The sequence below is a fragment of the Homo sapiens genome, chromosome 18 (assembly GCF_000001405.40).
Source record: "Homo sapiens chromosome 18, GRCh38.p14 Primary Assembly".
NCBI classification, from domain to species: Eukaryota; Metazoa; Chordata; class Mammalia; order Primates; family Hominidae; genus Homo; species Homo sapiens.
The window spans coordinates 70,629,147-70,651,771 of NC_000018.10; the positions used below are offsets into that span (position 1 = coordinate 70,629,147).

Sequence of the window (22,625 nt, forward strand, 5' to 3'; positions counted from 1 at the left end):
ATACAAAAATTAACTCAAAATGGATTAAAGACTTACATGTTAGACCTAAAACCATAAAAACCCTAGAAGAAAACCTAGGCAATACCATTCAGGATATAGGCACGGGCAAGGACTTCATGTCTAAAACACCAAAAGCAATGGCAACAAAAGCCAAAATTGACAAATGGGATCTAATTAAACTAAAGGGCTTCTGCACAGCAAAAGAAACTACCATCAGAGTGAACAGGCAACCTACAGAATGGGAGAAAATTTTTGCAATCTACTCATCTGACAAAGGGCTAATATCCAGAATCTACACAGAACTCAAACAAATTTACAAGAAAAAAACAAACAACCCCATCAAAAAGTGGGCGAAGGATATGAACAGACACTTCTCAAAAGAAGACATTTATGCAGCCAACAGACACATGAAAAAATGCTCATCATCACTGGCCATCAGAGAAATGCAAATCAAAACCACAGTGAGACATCATCTTACACCAGTTAGAATGGCGATCATTAAAAAGTCAGGAAACAACAGGTGCTGGAGAGGATGTGGAGAAATAGGAACACTTTAACACTGTTGGTGGGACTGTAAACTAGTTCAGCCATTGTGGAAGACAGTGTGGTGATTCCTCAAGGATCTAGAACTAGAAATATCACTTGACCCAGCCATCCCATTACTGGGTATCTACCCAAAGGATTATGAATCATGCTGCTATAAAGACACATGCACACGTATGTTTATTGCGGCATTATTCACGATAGCAAAGACTTGGAAGCAACCCAAATGTCCGTCAGTGATAGACTGGATCAAGCAAATGTGGCACATCTACACCATGGAATACTATGCAGCCATAAAAAAGGATGAGTTCATGTCCTTTGTAGGGACATGGATGAAGCTGGCAACCATTATTCTGAGCAAACTATCGCAAGGACAAAACACCAAACACCGCATGTTCTCACTCATAGGTGGGAATTGAACAATGAGAACACTTGGATACAGTAAGGGGAACTTCACACACTGGGGCCTGTTGTGGGGTGGGGGGAATGGGGAGAGATAGCATTAGGAGATATACCTAATGTTAAATGATGAGTTAATGGGTGCAGCACAGCAACATGTATACATATATGCAACAAACCTGCACGTCATGCACATGTACCCTAGAACTTAAAGTATAATAAAAAAAATAAAAAATAAAATAAAAATAAAAAGTATGCCTCTGTCATTGACAGGAAGACGAGCAAGGATAAATTACTTAACCTCGGGTTTTTTTCATTAGTAAAGTAGAGATATTAACGTGTGCCTAACTTCGGTTTAAACACAACACTTAAATTTGGGTCATTGCAAGAATGAAAGGAGTATGTGAAATCACTGTAGAACATTGTAGAATCCTGTGTAAAGCAGTTATTTTTATTCATTAGTCCATAATATCACTGACCATAGAGATGGTAGTGATGTCTTTCTATCCTGATTTGTCTCTCTTCACTGGTACTGATGGATGGGGCCAAGCTTGCAGTAGATGAGTTCTTCACTGTGTTTCTTACCTGGATTTTGAAGATCCTGAAATACAGAAATATTGTTTAGAAACAATAAACATTTTCTCTGGGTCTAATACTTTTTTTTTACATGAATGTACTTACATCACTGAGGGGAAGTTATTGCCAGTCCTGAACATTCTAGAAAGAAGGTCAGTAAAACTCAGTGATTAAGAAAGTTTTGAAAACCTTTCCCTATAGCCAAATTGGCTTGTCACTGCCTTCTGAAATATAAGATGTGCATGTCATTTCTGCTTTTGTTCCTAACAGTTATCATTTCTCTTTTTATTTTGTATAGAATGTCTTCCCTCTCTAGTCTTTCCTTTGTTTAGAACCCAATTAAGTGCACTTTTTCTAAAAATAGACTTTTTTGATTACTTTGGCTGTCCAGTAAACACCATTCTTAAAAAGTCTTTGGTGAATGTGTAATTTACTGATTTGTATTTTTATTTACCATAATATGTGTGTATCATTTGCCTCTTAAGGTCAATTGTGAATTCTTTGGGGGAAGGAAAATGCATTGTACTCAACTGTTAGAAAATAATACTAGAATTTTATGATGACAGGATGATTAGATGAATAAGAAGGGCTACCCTAGTAAGTACTATTTGGGAGCAAACAAAGTTAATTGGCCAGAAAGAGTTTAAAACATTTATTTAATGGAAAAAAGTTTTCAAAATCAATTTAAAGCTTGATGAATTTGAAATTAAGGAGGCAAAGTATTGACTTGGAAACCGCTGATGTATGACCAAGAGTGTTTAAAGGAAGAAGACAAAAATTTAAGTTTCATATTTAGAAAAGGAAAAATTGAGGGTAAAATTAGACCCATGAAGAGAAATCTGGTGGGTCTCTTTTAGTTGTCTTGCCTTCTATAGTCAATGCAACATAACTGTTGTATTTTTCACATAGAAAAATGAATGTAGAACCTATATCTCTTGCAAACCACATCCTGATCTTTACAAATCGATCTGCTTCCTATACCAAAATGTTCTCCTTTTTGATGGCAGCATTTGAAGTGATTGTGTGAGGTCCTGGGAAAGAAAGAAATGCACAATTGTTGCATTATTTTATTTCATATTTAAATAGGTAGTCATCTTCTTATTTTCTTACCTCTTCTAACCAAAGTCAAAATACACAGAAAGTTGAATATACAGTTTTTGAAAAGAACAGTTGCTATTAAGATTGGCAGCTTCTGTTCTGAATGTTCTTAACAGGACTAATTCTTGCTTAGCATGTTCTTAGTCTTCCAAGTTTTTCAGACAATACTAAGACAATTTGCTTTTTCATGATAGAGATAAGTGTTACATAAAAATGAAGTTATTGTTGTTGTCCATTCTCTGTTCTTTTAATATTATCTTACTGGTTTAGGTTGACTTGTGATTTTCTTTCCCAGTGGAATTTTCCATTAGATTGCATTTAGAAACAATACGGGTTCTTAGACTCCAGTCAAAAATGTTCACTGCTCATGGCCACTTGTCTTCAGGCCATAAGGAAAACACAAATTGACTGCATAGACCATGAAACAATGTTCAATCACATCGGCTTTTGTAGGCTCACAGTTTAAAGAATCCTTCTTGGCCAAATTTGATAAAATGAAAGGCTTTTTACTCATAGAATCTTCGTGGCTACTTAACTCAGCTTTAGGATGCTGCGTTGGTAACAACTCACTTGCATTTATAATTTAAATGTAGTGACATAGAAAGCAGACTTTCAAATATCTGAATGTGGTTTTACAATCAAATTCTTCATCCCCATAACCTGTGGTATGTGATCATCCTGGCCCACCTTCACCAAGAATCCTATGAAGTCAGTTTAGCCAGAATTCCCATTACATCTGATGTTTCCTCTCAGTAATTTTCCATCCACTGACCTCACCCTCCTCCTTGGCTATAAATCTCCACTTGTCCATGCTATATTTGAATTGAACCTGGTTTTCTTTCTCCTTTGCAATTGTTCCTGAATAGAATCTGTGTTCACAATTTTAACCTTAACCTCTGTCTAGTTCTGGTTTTCTTTGCCAGGCAGGATTTCTATTTCTAGGATCTCTACATAGTGTATAAACTTGAAACAATAATTGTGGGGTTTTTTTTTTGTACTTCTTTCTTTCCATCTGTGAAAAAAAAATTAATAACTTTATACCCGAATTTTCTCTGAGAATAAGTGTAATATTTACAGGGCCTGTAGTATAAGACAGAGGCATAGTAAGGAAGAGTAAAGAGAATGGTGAACAAGAATTTATATTCCAGTGGTGATTAATTTGTCATACTTGGGATGTGTCATTATTTGCTAAGTTATGTAAGTCAAATTATTTCCTATACATTTTTTTTATCTTTTGTAGTAAAATCTAAATATTTTATGGTGAGAGAAGACCAAAAACTCTAAACGCCGTGGCATTAGGGGCCCAGTTTATTTTGGTTAATTTTTGCATCCTTATAGCATCCAGCCCAGCAGCAGATAGATACAGAGCAGGTGATAAGCAAATATTTCTTTTTTTCCAAATATTTATTGATTAAGCAAGTGAATAAAAGTGAAATGAACGTTCTATTCTATAAGTAATTTTTTAAAAACCTGGCTAAACTGAACTCTTGAAAAGGAGGCTAATTCAAACACTTGGTCATTTCTACTATTGTTTTAAGTAGAAAAAGCACAAACAAGTATCTAACTGAGCACCAAAGAAAAGAGCTAACAGCTTGAACAAACTTGCAAAGGAGTTGATACTCACATGTGTGCACAGGGACATTCCTAACACCTCGTTTGACTGTTCCACACAATTTTATTTCACTGGTAACAGTTTACTGAAGAAACGGAGACAAACTTACATTAACAGAACGCTTCTCTGAGCTTGATGAAAGCATATTAACCAGACAGATAATAGCAACTTCTAGGAGCTTAGTTGCTTCCTAACTCCTGCATAATAGAGACCTAAAGGTGAAGGTGAGAGTTTTATTTAACTATGACTATCACAGCCCACTCAGGGATACAGAATGATCACTTCCTTCATTCTATCATTGCTTTAACTTAACAGATACCATCATTTTTCTGGCCAGTGAAAAATGTTTATTGTGTTCATCTTTTTATCTAGATTGGTGCTTCCCAGTAGAATTTTCGGTGCTGATAGCAATGTTCTACTGTCTCTATTATCCAACACTGTGGCCATAAGCCACGTGTGGCTTTTGAGCCTTGGAAGTGTGGCCAGTGCAACTGAGGAACTTGATTTTTAATTTAACTAATTTGAATTTAAATTAAATAGCCATATTGGCTAGTGGCTCCCATATTGGACGGGGTAGCTTCGGACTGTAGCACCAGTGTTCTGTGGTGGTATCTGGCTTTGAGCCAGATAGAGTCAGGGTTTGAACCCAGTCCTGCTATAATATTTACAAGTTATAGGAATTTTGCCACATTCCAAGGGATGACTACACACACACACACACACACACACACCTCCGTACAGCCTAAGTAGACTTACCAAGGAGTCAATGTATAAAATATGTGTCTACAATAGTTACTGATGTATATTAGGCCAACAATGATCCTCAAAGTCCCCTCACTTTCTGGATATATTATAGATAATAATTACAGTTTCTTAAGGAATTACTTTGGGCCAAACACTCTGCTGATCACCTTCCATACTTTAAGGTTAAGCAAAGTGACCAAGGCAGCAAGTGATGAAGCCTAGATTTAAGCCCAAGGCTGAATCCAAAACCTATATGTTTATATATCATATATATGGGGTAATAATACATATAGTACATAATATATAATATATATACATTATAAAATATATAATTATATTTATTAAAAATATTTTTCATATATTATAAAATATGTTTATAATATATTTTAAATATATAATACATAATTATATATAATATACATAATATGTGTGTGTATATATATGTGTGTGTGTGTATATATATATATATATATATATATATATAAAATGTATTACCCCAACTTTGCCTTTTAGCTTCCTGAGTGTGGGACGAATGGCTTATCCTTCCTCCTTGGCAGAGCACTTTGAATTTGACAGGAGCTCAACATATGTGGGTTTATCATTGGCTTATTTTGTACAGAAGGCATTGATGAATAAGAAGGAAGATAGCATGTTGGGGGTGGCAATTCACTCCCTAGAGAGTATCAGTACAACAGTGTCTCCTTTTCACTTGTTTCAGAAGCTCAAAGAACTCAAGAGCACTGTGTGATAGGCTGCTTTTACAGAGGAGTATAAGAAGATTAGAACCTAGATTTCAATGTCTCCTGCAATGATTCACAGCAACTTGGCCAGAGACCAGTATGTAGATCTTATCCAAGACAAGCCTCAGGACATATTTCGGCATATCAACTTGCAAAAAACCCATTTCTGAGTGCTAACATCATCGTGTGTTGTCTTTTGCTACATAATTTTATTCTTATTTTGTTAAAAGACAAAATATATTTTTGATTATTTTTCTTGTCACTCTTTGATTCCTGGTATAATAATAGCAGGGGCCCTGAATCACAGAATGAGGCCTAAAGACTGACAGTTGCAGCAGAATGGGGAAATTGGTTATGCTCTGTCAGAAGAAGCATCTCATGTGATGCTGGGAGGCAGGGGCATAGTTTCACGATCATCTCTGCCAAGGTAGGCAGGAAGCTCATGTGGACTGATTCTAGCCATTGGCTCCAGCTTAGCATGGGCTTCCTGTTAAGTAGGGACAGCAATATTAACACTAGACAATGCACAAAGTATGAGGATAATGTAAGACAGATAGGTCTGTTCCTTGCAGATGGTAGGTAAGTCTTTGACTCCGCACCAGGGAAGAATGAACTTGGGTTAAGAGCTCATAACAGCTGCCACTCTGGGCCCTGGTCAGCTCTTTAGGCTCAGATAGAAGCCCCCACACATGTCTAGCTGAGTAAGAACACTCTCTTTGATAAGAACAATTTTAAAAGGGGCAAATAGAACCATATTAGGGTTCTATTTTTATCTTATTTCTCAATGCCATGACACTGTTCTGAATGCTGGATGCTTTATTGACATGAGACTGAAAAGGGAGACTCTTCTGGTGCTGACAACAAGGTGTGACTCTCAGAAACTGGCCATTCCTCAGTAGGCATGTGGCCCTGCTCTCAAAGTTGCATCAGTAAGAACGGCTCAAGATCAATTTTTCTGAAAACCTAGTCATTATTTTTTGGCAGGCAGTCTCTAAATATAATTGGCTTATCACTAAAATCCTATGTAGCAGGTTAACTCATTTAGTTACTTGGGATTACATTTTGTATTCAATTTATCTTGGAGGTACACCAAGAAGTTACCTTCACTAAAATTAGATGTCCTTTGACTGCAATCTGGAAAGAAGTTTTAAATGGTTTAAATGGGCATTTTATAACACCTGCTTTAAAAATTCTCTAGTATAAAATACTTATTTATAAGCTCTATAATGCAAAACTTTGAGACCTTTGGTTTCAGTGGATCTGATATTGCTGTTGAGATACTTGACCTTTTCTGCCAACCTTTCCTTTACCTACCTGATGGACAAGTTTCAGAGCTTTCTATTAAAGCATAAATCCAAAACTTTTATTAAGGGATTAAAATCCTAGTCTTTTTGTTTGTGCACAAAATAAATCAATCTGTCTTTAATTAGTGCTGTAGATTATCTGCAAATGCTTTCCAAAGAGCTTTAACTCTTAGCTGTAGGATATCTTAGCTTAGATATCAGGTTAGAACATCTCTTCAAGATTACTTGAAGTGCATGTGACAATCTATTCTTATTTTTCTAAATTTTAGAACTCTGGAATCAAGTTAGACCACTAGAAAACCACATATTTAGAGAATCAGACAATAGTTTTGGCCTGTTTGTTTGTTTGTTTGTTTGTTTTTTGGAGACAAGAGTCTCGCTCTGCCCCCCAGCTGGAGTGTGGTAGCACCATCTTGGCTCACTGAAACTTCTGCCTCCCGAGTTCAAGCAATTCTCATGCCTCGGCCTCCCCAGTAGCTGGGATTACAGGTGCCCACCACCATGCCCAGCTAATTTTTGTATTTTTAGTAGAGATGGGATTTCACCATGTTGGCCAAGCTGGTCTCGAACTCCTGACCTCTGGTGATCCACCCTCCTCAGCCTCCCCAGTGTGCTGAGATTACAGGCATGAGCCACTGCACCCATCCTGTTTTTTTTTTTTAACTACATGTACATATTTTCTTCAGTGTTATGCATGTGACCATGTCAAGGGATGTTGTCAGAGAAATGCTATTAGGACATTTTTTTGTAGGGCCGAGGTTGTGGATTTTGTGTTCCATACACACAGTGAGACCTTCATGGGGATTCCCAGCATAAATGTAGTCCTCCCTTCTCATCTGCACTTTCACATTTTGTGGTTTCAGCTTCCCGAGGCCAACTGATGTCCAACAATATTAAGTAGAAAATTCCAGAAATAAACAATTCATACATTTTTAAATTCCCTGTTGATTTTGGGTAGTGTGGTGAAATATGCTGTCCTGCTCCATCCCACCTGGGACATGAGTCATCCTTTTGTTCAGTGTATCCTCAATGTAGATATTACCTCCCCCTGTTAGTCACTTAGTAGCTGTCTTCTTTATTGTATTGAAAAAAAATGGTGTGTAAAGAGTTCAGTGTTATCCAAAGTTTTAGTCATTCACTGAGGGACTTGGAACATATTCCCTATGGAAAATGTGTTGTGCAATTCTTTTTATGAAAGAATGCTGTGTTTCCTAATTCTTGATTCCTAAGGAAAACTAAATTTTTCCTGAACATTTTTTTTCTTTTGGCCGTTCATCTTTTTTAATTTTAATTTTTAATTTTTATGGGTACATAGTAGGTGTACATATTTATGGGATACATTATATATAATATATATAAACATTATATATATTTATTGACAAGGTCTCACTCTGTCACCCAGCTGAAGTGCAGTGGTGCTATCCTGGCTCACAGCAGGATAGTGACCTGTCAGGCTCAAGGAATCCTTCTGCCCCAGCCTCTCAAGTAGCTGGGACTACAGACACTATGCCTGGTAAATTAAAAAAAAATTATAGAGATGGGGGTCTTGCCATGTTGCCCAGACTGGTCTCAAACTCCTAGCCTCAAGTGATCCTCCTGCCTCGGCCTCCCAAAGTGCTAGGATTACAGAAGTTAGTCACCATGCTTGGCCTACATGAGATATTTTAATACAGGTATCCAACATATAATATTCATATCAAGGCAAATGGGGTATATATCACCGAAAGCATGTATCATGTCTTTGTGTTACAAACATCCCAATTATGCACATTTATTTAAAAATGTACAAAAAATTATTATTGACTATAGACCCTGTTGTGCTATCTAATACTAGATTTTAATCATTCTATCATACTTTTGTACCCATTAACCATCCCCACTTTCCTGCTCCCATCCCCATCACCCTTCCCAGCCTCTGTTAACCATTATTCTACTTTCTATCTCCACGAGTTCAATTGTTTTAATTTTTAGCTCCCACAAATGAGTGAGAACATGCAGTTTGTCTTCCTGTGCCCAACATATTTCATTTAACATAATGACCTCCAGTTCCATCTATGTGGTTGCAAATGACAGGATCTCATTTTTTTTTAATGGCTGAATCGTACTCCATTGTGTATATGTACCACATTTTCTTGATCCATTCATTCACTGATGGATACTTAGGTTGATTCCAAATGTTGGCTATTGGGAATAGTGCCGCAGTAAACATGGGAGGGCAGATATCTTTTAGATATGCTGATTTCCTTTCTTTTGGGTATGCACCTAGCAGTGAAATTGCTGGCCCATATAGTAGTTCTATTATTAGTTTTTTGAGGTACTTGTACTAATTTATATTACCATCAGCAGTCTACAAGGGTTCCCTTTTCTCTACATCCTCGCCAGCATTGGTTATTTACTGTGTTTTGAATAAAAGCCATTTTAACTGGGTTGAGATGATACCCCATTGTAGTTTTGATTTGCATTTCTCTGGTGATCAATGATGTTGAGTGCCTTTTCATATACCTGTTTTCCATTTGTATGTCTTTTGAGAAATGTGTATTCAGATATTTGGTCCATTTTTAAATTGGATTATTGAATTTTTTCCTGTTGGGTTATTTGAGCTCCTCATATATTCTGGTTATTAATTCCTTGTCAGATGAATAGTTTGCAAATATTTTTCTCCTATACTTCGGGTTGTCTCTTCACTTTGTTGATTATTTCATTTGCTACTGTAGAAGCTTTTTAACTTGATGTGATCCTATTTGTTCATTTTTGCTTTGGTTGCTTATGCTTGTGGGGTATTACTCAAGAAATCTTTGTCCAGACCAATCCTGGAGAGTTTCCCCAATGTTTTCTTGTAGTAGTTTCATAGTTTGAGGTCTTAGATTTAAGTATTTAATGGATTTTGATTTGATTTTTGTATGTGGATAGAGATAGGGATCTAGTTTCATTCTTCTGCATATGAATATCCAATTTTCCTAGCACTATTTATTGGAGAGACTCTTTCCCCAATGTATATTCTTGGCACCGTTGTCAAAAATGAGTTCATTGTAAAGGTATGGATTTCCTGCTAGGATCTCTATTTTGTTCCATTGATATATGTGTCTGTTTTTATACCAGTACCATGCTATTTTGGTTATCATAACTCTGTAGTATAATTTGAAGTCAGGTAATGTGATTTCTCCAGTGATGTTCTTTTTGCTCAGGTTGGCTTTGGCTATTCTGGGTCTTCTGGGGTTCCATATAAATTTTAAGATAGTTTTCCTATTTCTGTGAAGAATATCATTGGTATTTTGATAGGAATTGCATTTACTCTGTAGATTTTTGGGGTAGGGATAATATGGATATTTTAACAATATTGATTCTTCCAATCCATAAACATGGAATATCTTTCTATATATTTGTGTGTCCTTTTCAATCTCTTGCATTAATGTTTTATAGTTTTCATTGCAGAGATCTTTCACCTATTTGGTTAAATTTATGCCTAGGTATTTTATTTTATTTGTAGCTGTCATAAATGGGATTACTTTCTTGATTTCTTTTTCATATTGTTCACTGTTGGCACAGAGAAGTGTTACTGATTTTTGTATGTTGACTTTGTATACTGCAACTTTACTGAATTTGTGAATAAATTCTAATAGTTTTTGGTGGAGTCTTTGGGTTTTTCCAAATACAAGGTTGTATCATCTGTAAGTAAGGATAATTTGACTTCTTCCTTTCTGGTTTGGATGCACTTTATTTCTTTCTCTTGTCTGATTACTCTAGCTAGGATTTCTAGTATTATGTTGAATAACAGTGGTGAAAGTGGGCATCCTTGTCATGTTCCAGATACTAGAGAAAAAGTTTTCAGTTTTCCCCCATCCAGTATGATACTAGCTGTGGATCTGTCATATGTAACTTTTATTTTGTTGAGGTATATTTCTTCTATACACAGTTTTTTGAGGGTTTTCCACCATTAATTTTTTTAAGTCATTACTCCCCAGACTGTGTTCTGCAGTCTTTTTCTAAGCAGACTGGTAAGTGGCACATGGAAAAAGTTTCTGGCCCCTTTATATGGTAATCATCATATTAACGGCTGTGTGTGATTGAACAGTTAAGAAGAAACAAACATTAACTTTATTTAAATCCTGAATTTGCCAATATTTCTTACATCATGTGTGTGGTATGTGGGCATTTCAATTATGATCTGACAGAACAGCATTAAGCAGATACCAGTTTGTGAAATGCTGCTACAGTTTCATGATTTTCCTCTTTACTTTGTTTTGGTTGCCAAGAGGCTCAGAGAGAAATTGGCAAAATTTTAGACTTAAATTCCCCAGCCTGTGACCTGGACAAGGTAGCCATAGACATCTTGGTAAAATTTCAAATTCCACACCATCCCACCTGCTTTGTGAATTGTGGCAGAGCTGTTTCTGCTGGGTCCCTGTCCCCACGAGAATGCAGGGCATCATGATTCCTCTTTCTCAACAATCACGATAGCAGGCTTTGCTTAGTTTTTCTCATTTATCTTAACTATGTATCTCTTTCTATTCTGGGCATTTTACTGACTTATGTTTTACTTTCAGTTCAGTTCTTCCAATGACCTGCAGTGAATACAGGTCCATAGACTTATCAACCAATCTCATATTTACTTGTTTCTAAAGCTTTAATATCTAGTCTCTTCCAATGAGCCCTACTCAGTGGATTTTCAATATATACTTTATAATATCATCTTTTTATGACTTTTATTTCTATCATCTTATTTTCCTTCCTTCATCTTTTTTCTTCAAATTTCTGACTTATTTATTATCTCATTTTCTTATACATATCTCTGAAATCTGGCTCAAGTCCTTCATGTAATGAGATGATGGTATAAATAACTAATTATTTTTCATAATTAATTAAAAATAAATAGGTTGTTTCCCTTCTAATACCTGAAGGGATATAGTCAGATGGAAGTGGGGATGATGCCATGGCAGGGATATTAGTGGGAGTGTTGCCAGATCATTTTGGAGAATGGGAGGTGTTAGGTAGAGCTGGGTAAGCATGAGGCTCTTTGAGGCCCTGAGCAGCATGGAATAAAACAGTGTTTCCTGGTCTGACTGACCCTAGCAGAAATCTCAGCTTTGTGCCTGACCAGTTGTCCCGTCTGGGTCACAGCCATGCAAGAGAAACCTTGGACATGCTGGTGTTGTCGTCTCAGGATAAGGTGTCAGCTCCCTCCCAAGTGTGTGATTTGGAATCCTGATGTGCAGCAGCACGTAGGACAAAGCGCCTGCCACCACAGACTGTGCCCCTCACTGCTCTCGGCTGCACTCACAGCACTGACTCCAGCTACTCTGCAATATTTTGGGAGAAATTACTTGTGTGCTTACTTCATTGGTCAAAATTCCTTCCAATTGAAATTGAGTGACCTACAATCATCTTTTTTTGCTTCCTGGATATTCTGGAGTGGCACAATAGAGTGCATTGAGAACAAATGTTTAATTATTGAACAGGGCCCTGCCTCTGAACTGTTTGACTAAAAGAAATACCACAGACATATTTCTGACCCTGATGCCTCCAACTTTGTTTTATGCCTTGATTTGTCAACATCCATTTGTCTTTTTCAAAACCGAAGTAGAGAATTTCATAAAAATTTTATTTGTCTTGCATTGGAATGAACACACCTCATTTATTTGGTTGAAGTTGTCTCCTTTTCCCAGTTTTATTCCTCCTAACATCACTACCAATTGAATACTTCAGAAACATCTCTTTTACATAGGTTACAGCATAAAACCCTTTAATGACTCCTGTTACCTATAGGTTAAAATCTAAACACATTATTATTTTGGATTTCCAAGTCTCCAAAGTTTGGGTCCAGTTTTTATTTTTAGCCTTATTTTTGATTAGTACTCCTTTCACAAAACATTTGCTCCAATCACACTAATGTTTTCATTTGTTGCTTTAAGTTTTTGCCTTGAATGTGTTCCAATACAGGTCCTTAATGTACATAAATAATATAAATACTAGTAGAAGTAGTGAAGATAATGGTGACCACATTGAAATGTTTGAATCACGTACTTTTTTTTTTCCTGTGTTTCAACTAGTTGTCATTTGTCTTCTTTCTACACATTTCTTCACCTATCTTAACATCACGTCAGGGTCCTCTCAGTCCCCTTTTCTCTGTTATGCCTTCTGGACCTCTGTGGCTAGAAATAAACCCTCTTTCCTGAGTTACTTTGATTCTGACTGTCCAATCATTGGTGACCACATTCTGGGCAACTTCTGCAACTAGGTACCGTTTTTTGTGTGTTTAGAAAGTTCTCAGCTTTTAGGAGTGACTTATGTACATTCTTTAATGTGAATGGCACCTATTTCAAACCTTTTGTGGGATGTGTTGATTATATACAGAAAATTAAATTCTGGTATAGCTAATACATACCTGCACACGCATGCATAAATAGGAGCAATAAACCAGAGGAACAAAAACACTTCCATGCAAATGGCAGGTGGTGACTCCTCCCCTTCTGTCACTGAAGCCACTTGGAAGATTTCTGTGCTCTCTCTCCTCCCTCTTCCTCCTCTTATTTGCAGGTCTCCATTTTGATGAGTTTTTCTGATCTGACAAAGTAAAATGGGGACTGTGAACTGAGTTGCATTAATATAGTTCTAATTGAAAGTAGTCCAAGTTTGCTATTTAATTTATTGTGTAATATTTAGTTACAAAATTTTGTGTTGATGAATGTGCTTTTTTTAAAAAAAATTGTGAGATGTAAACAAAAGTTTAGAGGAGATCCATACTTAATCTTCTGCTTTTTTCCAGATGTTTTGGCTCAGTCCTGCAAGCATTATACTAATGACAAGAGTAAAATCAATGGAGATAACATAGGGATGCAAACATGAGCGCTTTAATCTATTAGACAACTTGAAAATTCACATTCAGATTGCAATGAAATGAAGAGAAATTTGCTGTCAACTAATTTAATTGTTTGGCTTATTATTTTCTCAGAAAGGATGCTATGTGATTCTTTCTGAGGTGGGCTGGGTATTTCTTGGAATGCTATGGAGGGAGACCTGGCACAGGGTGGAATGCAGACCTCCTGGGGACTGGCTGCATCAGCAAGATGCCCTCTCCCTTAGGCTGCAGCTACACCTGTGAATCATACATTTGGGAGGAATGTAGATTTTACTTGGGGATTTAACCTACTTGCAGTTTGTGGAAAATATCCAAATGGAATTATGAAAGCATTACCTAATTATAACAACACGTTTATTTTCCTTGACCGTCTTTGGTTTTGACTTGTTTGAATTTGTTTATTTAAAGAAGGCTGGTAGGTGGCAATTTTTTGTCTGCCATGTGTGGTGTGTATGCATGTGATACTGACCTAGCTAAAAATATTTGCATATGCCCACAGGCCATTGATAAAATAAGAATCAGCATAGAAATGAATCAATGTATGCTTTGCGAGGATCCCGTTTTTTTATATATACAGATAGGATGGTTGAATCAGGATGCATGATACTCCGGTGCATTTCTGAATTTTACTGCACCACCTGTAGCCTGTCTTTGTGCACGTGAAAACCCTTCAGAAGCAATGATCTCTGTATGTGATGTCCTGCACCCTGCTGAATTCATGCTGTGATGTTGTACGTTGTCTCAGGGGAGGAGAAAAACAAGAGGGTTTAGACAGAGGCTCAATTTAGCTCTGGAATATGGGGGAAAAAAGCCTACAAAAATTTGCATACAATCTCCCTTATTTTGTAATTGTGCACTCATTCAGTGCATTTTATGGAGATTACCTTAATGGGAGTGAGTGTTTGGGGTCATTGGGACTCCTGGAGCTTTTTCTTAGTTGGAGGACAACTTTTTATTACGGTTTTAATTTTTAAATTTTATTTTATTATTTTTTAAATAAAATTTTAATTTTAATTTATTATTTTATTAATCTATTAATTTTCTAATTTATTAAGGTTTTATTTTTTTCTTCTTTTTAGACTTCAATATTAGCCTGAAAGCAATTGAGAAGCCAATTCCAGAATTCTTGAGCTAACTGCCATGAATATTATGCAAAATCAATGGATAATCTCCACACTTTTTATATGTCATAACAACCGTTTTATTAACCATTGTGGAAGATTTCAATTTTCTTTGAATCTCTGAATAGGCCTATTTGAACGTTTTTTGAGGAGAAGAAAACAGATATGTAGTGTGAAATTTGGTGTAGGAAATGCTGATAATAATTAAAGAGGAGGCCGGGCATGGTGGCTCACACCTGTAATCCCAGCACTTTGGGAGGCTGAGGCAGGTGAATCGCTTGAGGTCAGGAGTTGGAGATCAGCCTGGCCAACATGGCGAAACCCCATCTCTACTAAAGATAAAAAATTAGCCAGGTGTGGTGGGGTGCATCTGTAATCCCAGATACTTGGGAGACCGAGGCAGAAGAATCACTTGAACCCAGGAGGTGGAGGTTGCAGTGAGCTGAGATTGCACCACTGCACTCCAGCCTGGGTGACACAGTGAGACTGCCTCTCGAAAAAAAAAAAAAAAAGAAAAAGAAAAAGAAAAAAATAATTAAAGAGGAAATTAGGAATAAGAAAACAAGAAGGAAGTAATGATACGTGCAGAGTAGAATATACACATGCACACAAACACACACACACTGGGATTTTAAAAGCAGTCTTGAGAGAAGGAGGATGAACTTGACATGGCTGTGAGAGTCCCATGGGAGAGAGCCAGAGTGTTTTGCTATGCACTGGCATGAGGAGAGAAATGGAGAGATTATATGTACACTGTATACAATCAATAGGTAGGAGTTGGGAGCTCAGCCATGTGGACACACTGAATTTTCTTCCTTAGATAGGCTGTGCTAAGTGTGTTCATTTGGGTTTCTAAAGTTTTCTCTATCTTAAGTATCATGTAAACTTGGCATAATAAGGCATGATTAAACAGGGAGGCTAGAGAAAATATGCATTCCATCTTTCAAGAAGAATCCACAAACTGAACCTTGCTTCTCACACTGCTCTAGTCCTCATCCAGGCACTTGTTTCCCCTAGAACAAGTAATTGCTCTTAGGGAGAATCTTAAAAGATGGGCTCATGTTTCCTATGGAGGGACTTGTATTTGGGACTTCCGCTTTCCTCTGCCCCTCATCCTGGACATTACTCCAGGAGAAGGAGGCATGTCCCTTCCCTGACTGGTGAGAAGGAGGAACTGGCCATGCTTGGCTCAGTCCTAATGGCTTCCTTTTTCTCTCTCCCCCAGGTTCATCTGCCTGTCCATGGCATGCATTCTCATCTGCTCTTTGGAGCCCAAATCTTACCTTTACTAATGGCTAGCTGTGTAATCTTGGAGAAATTTCTCAAATTTTTGGTGTCTTTTTTGTTTTCTAGCTCGAAAATAGATGTGATAATAGATTGCCTCCTTGGATATTGTATGGAAGAGTCTTTAATTAAAGATAAGGAAGACTTTTGCAGAGGTAAACAGATGAAGCACAGCATACACTATCTCTCACCTCCAGAGACAGAGCCAACACATCCATGAATATGTGTCTTGTTGAAGGGGTGGTATTAAAGGATAGGGGTGTTGCACATACTAAAAGCTGTCTGTACCTGATGGATACTTGATAAACCTTTGTTAGGTGAAGTCCTAATTGAAAGAAGGAAGGTATATTTTGAAATGGCTCCAGATGATTCTGCTAAATACCCCTTTTCCTCTCCTGCTACAACACACACGCATGCTTGCACACGTATACACACACACACCACATTTGTGCATATAAGCACATCGCCTATTGACAATCATTGTGAAACCTCCCTCTTTACAGCTGTCTTTTATTAAACTATTTATGACACATATGCTTTCTAAAGACAGCAGGCTGGTAATTTCTTTTTCCTCTTGACAAGCACTGTTAAGAATATACTTATTTTCTACTATTTTAAAAAGTAATATTTACAAACCACTAGCATTTTCTGAATTATATTTGACAGCGTACACTACTTGCTTCATGATCCAAATATAGTATATTGAATAGATGACGATGTCCTTCACAGTCACTATTGAGTCATAAGGCGCTGAAGGGAAGTCTGGCTCATGGGAAGTGCTCTCTCTTACGGGGAGAGCAAAGGCTGGGACACGACCTTTGATTTCTTCCTTCTGTTATAATAGTAGATTTTTTAAAAATTCAAACTCAAAATCTAAGTTGTCTTTCATGTTACATTCACTAATAGTGCATATTATAGCTAGATATATGTAAATATAGGTCTTTAGAATATCCTCGTCTAAAATAATTATTGCAGACAACACATCTATCATTTAGGTTCATGTTGTAGAAACCTGGATTACGGCTTAAAAAGGTTTCTAGTCACTCATTACTAATTTTCTTTACTTATACTTGCCTTTAATTCAATTTTGAAAATACGTATAATATGAGAGATTTCCTTCTTGGATGTTATATGGAATGGTGAAATAATACCCTGTAGTAGTTGAGAAACATGGAGAATTTAAAAGGGTTAAGCTCAAAACAATACAGGCAAGGAGTACAAAGACTTTGTTAAAAAAACAGGTTATATGTGGCTTATCATTAGATCATATAGTTTGATATGTGTAAAAAGTAATGCTCAGATATGTGGTAAAGTAGGGAAGATAAATAAAATTTACTCAATCTGTTTCTCTTAGATGGAAAGCTAGTGCCATATATTCTTTTTTTAATCTTCAGGGATAAACATAAAACATGGCCCCATAATTACCTCCATTTCTAGTATGTTCTCTGTGCTGCAGGTATGATAGTAGGTGACTGGCAAGCATTGGCTAATTTGATTCACAATTTAGTGTGGCAATAATATGTTGGCTCTGATTTTTTAAATAGAAGAAAAAATAAGCATTCAGTATGTAAATTGGAAAGCATTATCTCTTTAACAGAAGGTTAACTTTATTAAACATTTTGCTGCACTAGGTCTATGACATTTGAGAAGGAAATTTTACAAAGATTTTGGAAATCCCCAAATCTACATATGTATCTTTCCATAAAGTACATGTACAATGATTTTGAGAACAGCAAAACTCATCTGGAAGGCACATGCTGGAAGATGGGCTTTGTTCACCCTGAGTGCCCACTCATGTTCACCTACTAACATATAAACTCACAGGGGTAGGACTCCTGGTAGGACATGTGACAGATCAGAAATGTGAGAAGACAAGGGGGCTCGTGGACAGCTGAAGGGACAGATATTCAATTGTAGAAGGCCCGTGTATAATCTCTTTCCACACTTGTTTGTGCGTGTTTGAATAATGTTGTATATACAGATTTGCACCTGCAGTTCCCCTTCTATGCATTTCCCATGTCGTTAGAAGAATTAAAATTCCTCTGTCATAGAGAAAAATACAAATTATTTGTAATGTTGACTAGATATTTTATGTTAAGAATTATTAATGTTTGTGTGTAATAATGTCATATTCTGAAAGTTTTTATCTTGGAAGCACACATACTGAGGAATTTATAGATGTAATAATATGTCAGGATTTTGCTTCAAAATATGTACTCGAGAGGGGCAAAGTAAGTAGGAGTATGAATGAAGTAAGTTTGGTACTGTGCTGATAATTGTTGAATCTGGGTGATGGAAATGATGGAATTTATTATACTGTTCTCTGTATTTTGCATATATTTAAACGTTTTCATGATTAAAAGTTAAAGTTTTTCTATAAATTTAATTTCTAATGGCTTTATGATGGTCACAATAAGGATATATTCATGTAATCATTTATATTATACAATTTGGGGACATTTTATGTATTTTTTATTTTTCAAGATCATGTAAGGTATGGTAATCCACATTTCTCTGTGCATGAAATTTTACCAACATTTAAAATTAGTCTGGGGGAGAATTTTGGGGGTATATTACTGCACCAGGCCAGCCTGGGATACAGGCATCACGCCTGTAATCCCAGCACTTTTGGAGGCCAAGGTGGGCAGATTACTTGAGGCCAGGAGTTCGAGACCAGCCCTGGCTAACACGGGAAAACCCTGTCTCTACTAAAAAATACAAAAATCAGCTGGATGTGGTGGCACATGCCTGTAGTCCCAGCTACTTGGGAGGCTGAGGCGTGAGAATGGCTTGAACCCAGGATGTGGAGGTTGCAGTGAGCTGAGATTGTGCCACTGCACCCCAGCCTGGGCGACAGAGTGAGAGTCAGTTTCAAAAAATAAAAAAATTTCCTGCAGCAATGAATGTAATCATTTAAAAGTGATATGCACTTTTCCAGTTGTTTCCCAAGTTGACGTAATTGTTTCCCAAATAGACTGGATACTTTTTTCTAATAATTATGAGAATGCCCGAACCACCTCATGCTATTAGTATTGCCCATCATCATTTAAAAATATATCTTAAATTGATAGATCATTTCGTTATGGATATTAGAAGAATGGATACTTCTTGAAATATGAGAAATTTATGCTGGTTGTAGAAAATTTGGAAAGTGCAGAAACATCCCAACAGTAAAAGAAAACCACTTGGTGAAGTGCGAATTTTTCTTTTTCTTTTTTTTTTAATTTATTTGTTTTTGAGACAGAGTCTCGCTCTGTCGCCCAGGCTGGAGTGCAGTGGCGAGATCTTGGCTCACTGCAAGCTCCTCGCGGGTTCACGCCATTCTCCTGCCTCAGCCTCCTGAGTAGCTGGGACTACAGGCGCCCGCCACCACGCCCAGCTAATTTTTTGTATTGTTTTTAGTAGAGACGGGATTTCACTGTGTTAGCCAGGATGGTCTCGATCTCCTGACCTCATGATCTGCCCGCCTTGGCCTCCCAAAGTACTGGGATTACAGGTGTGAGCCACTGCACCCGGCCTGAAGTGCAAATTTTTCATAACAATCTTTTTTCAAAATATTTTGAAATATTCTCTGCTGTTCAGTTATAATGATAGCTGGAGGCATTATACAACTTTATTTTGTAACATATTTTTTTCCAGTACAGATGTGAAAAGCTTCACATCTATTATTTAGTACTGCAATGTCAAATAAAGTTAGAGAGAAGTTTCAGAAAAAAAGATAAATTCGTAAAAGGCCATAGTCTCTGTGAGGAAAAGTGACATAGGACATTTCTCCATTGGCAGCAGTTAGGAAATGTAGGAAGAGCGTCAGAGTTTCTGAGTCAGCTTTCAGATGCATGTCCTCACTTTCTCTTCATTATACCCAAATGAAGATCTTGTTTGAACTTTTTTTAAATTATACTTTAAGTTTTAGGGTACATGTGCACAACGTGCAGGTTTGTTACATATGTATTCATGTGCCATGTGGGTGTGCTGCACCCATTAACTCATCATTTAACATTAGGTATATCTCCTAATGCTATCCCTCCCCCCTCCCCCCACCCCACAACATTGCGGCACTATTCACAATAGCAAAGACTTGGAACCAACCCAAATGTCCAACAATGATAGACTGGATTAAGAAAATGTGGCACATATACACCATGGAATACTATGCAGCCATAAAAAATGATGAGTTCATGTCCTTTTTAGGGACATGGATGAAGCTGGAAACCATCATTCTCAGCAAACTATCGCAAGGACACAAAACCAAACACGGCATGTTCTCACTCTTAGGTGGGAATTGAACAATGAGAACACATGGACACAGGAAGGGGAACATCACACACCGGGATCTTGTTTGAAATTTACAGATAGAGAAGCGAAGGCCTTGGAGATACAACGTTCTTCGGAAAGTGGTCAGAGCCTCCTAACATTGCTTCGGGGCTGCGCCCCTCCCCGCTCCCTCCTGTTTTGGCTTCTTGCCAGCCTGGATGTTCCTGGTCCCTGCAATGCTTGCACTTTCCTGAGTCAATACTGTGGAATCTGTTGACCCTTCTTCTTGGAAACTGTTTTCTTCCATTTTTTTTTTTAAGAAAACTGTAAAGTTAATGCATACTCTTGGGAAAAAAGAATTCTAACAGAATTAAAGATTATAATTGAAACATACTTTATACACAGTTTTATATACCATTTTTTCTTAATACTATGAACAAGTTTTCTGTGTCCTTAGAATGGTTGTAAATACCATAGTGGTTACAAGGGGCGTAGCCACATTCTAAGAGTGCATCGCCATTGACTTAATGCTCCACTGTATCCTCTAATTAGGCCACAGCCTTGGCTGACCCATGCTCCTGCCTAAACGTGACCAGTCTGCACCTCAGAAGGCCAGGCTCTCCCCTTGGCTGCCACCTACAGCCAATCTAACCAGCTGTGCACCCGAGTCTCTGTTTTTTTTTTTTTTTTTTTTTTTTTTTTTAATGTTTTCCCCATTACTTCAAGGTTTGGATAAAATAATGTACTATGGTTTGCAGCCTGGCTTCCCAAATAATGAGGCTGGAAGTCACAATCTGAAACTGAGTGAATTAACCCCCTGTTCAGGGAATTGAGTAATAAGGAAAAAAGACCTTGAAAGAGCTAGGAAGATTCATTTCCTCTTCTCCCTTTTTCTGATGAACAAACTGTTTCAGGAAAGAGATCTTGCTTACCTCTGCAGTCTCTCTGAGATGTCCCTCATGGCCACATGAGTGCACCCAGCAAAGGACCCAACTTGGGAAGCTGTGGCCAGGATGGTATATGTCACTTTGCATTGCTTCTCATCCTTCCCTCCGTAGCTGTTTTCCTCACCTTCTTGCCATGAGTTTGCACGTCCTTAAACAAAATAGGAGCCTTTTTAGTCATTGCCTCAGACCAGGCTTTTTAGGGAACCTGAGCTCAGGCAGAGACCTAGATGCAGAGGGAGGTAGAATGTTCCAGGAAGGAGATGCAGAATGTACAAAAGCTTTGTGGGGTGAGGGAGCATGATAGGGTAAAAGCAAAGGAAGGTTGAAATGAAAAAAAAAAAAAAGTAAATGGCAAATGTGAAATGTGATGGAGAAAGGAAGAGGAGGGGCATGTGATGTAAACTAGCTGGGGACAAAACCACAGAAGGTGGTATAGACCCCGGAAGCAGTCTGGTCTTGATTCTAAGAGTAACAGCAATCTACTGTAGGGCTTTAGGGAGGATGGCAGTGGGATGGAGATGGGGTAGCATATTAGTCCATTTTCACACTGCTGTAAAGAACTGCCTGAGACTGGGTCATTTATACAGAAAAGAGATTTAGGTGACTCACAGTTCCGCATGGCTGGTGAGGCCTCAGGAAACTTACAATCATGTCAGAAGGGGAAGGAGGGATGTCTTACGTGGTGGCAGGCGAGAGAGAGCCTATGAAGGAGGAACAGTCAAACACTTATAAACCATCAGATCTCATGAGAACTCACTCACTGTCATGAGAACAGCATGGGGGAAACTGTTTACATGATCCAGTCACCTCCTTCCCTTGAGATTTGGGGATTACAGGTCCCTTCCTCAACACATGGGGGTTACAATTCGAGATGGGATTTGGGTGGGGACACAGAGCCAAACCATGGGGGTTACAATTCGAGATGGGATTTGGGTAGTGACACTGGATTTGAATTTTGAAAGGGACACTCTGGTTATGCAGGGCAGAATAGATCGTCTGAAGGAGGTTTGCAGTGTGGATATTGCTTGATCAGTTAGCAAGTGATGGCATATTACTGGAGAAAGATGACATTAGCTTGGACTACTGTGGGAATAATGGAAATGGAGAAAAATGAGAGATATTTGGGAAGTAAAATGGATAAGATCGA

At 37.6% G+C, this 22,625-nt stretch overlaps 1 long non-coding RNA gene across 1 annotated transcript; it reads right to left on the reverse strand.

Annotated features, from left to right (window-relative positions):
* Positions 1-1,372: 1,372 nt before the first annotated feature.
* GTSCR1 (Gilles de la Tourette syndrome chromosome region, candidate 1) lies at positions 1,373-21,808 on the reverse strand. Its single transcript, NR_160904.1, has 3 exons — positions 21,464-21,808; positions 13,399-13,577; positions 1,373-1,543 (listed from the first exon to the last, which is right to left on the reverse strand). It is a non-coding gene; the product is annotated as a Gilles de la Tourette syndrome chromosome region, candidate 1 (long non-coding RNA).
* Between the last annotated feature and the right edge of the window lie 817 nt (positions 21,809-22,625).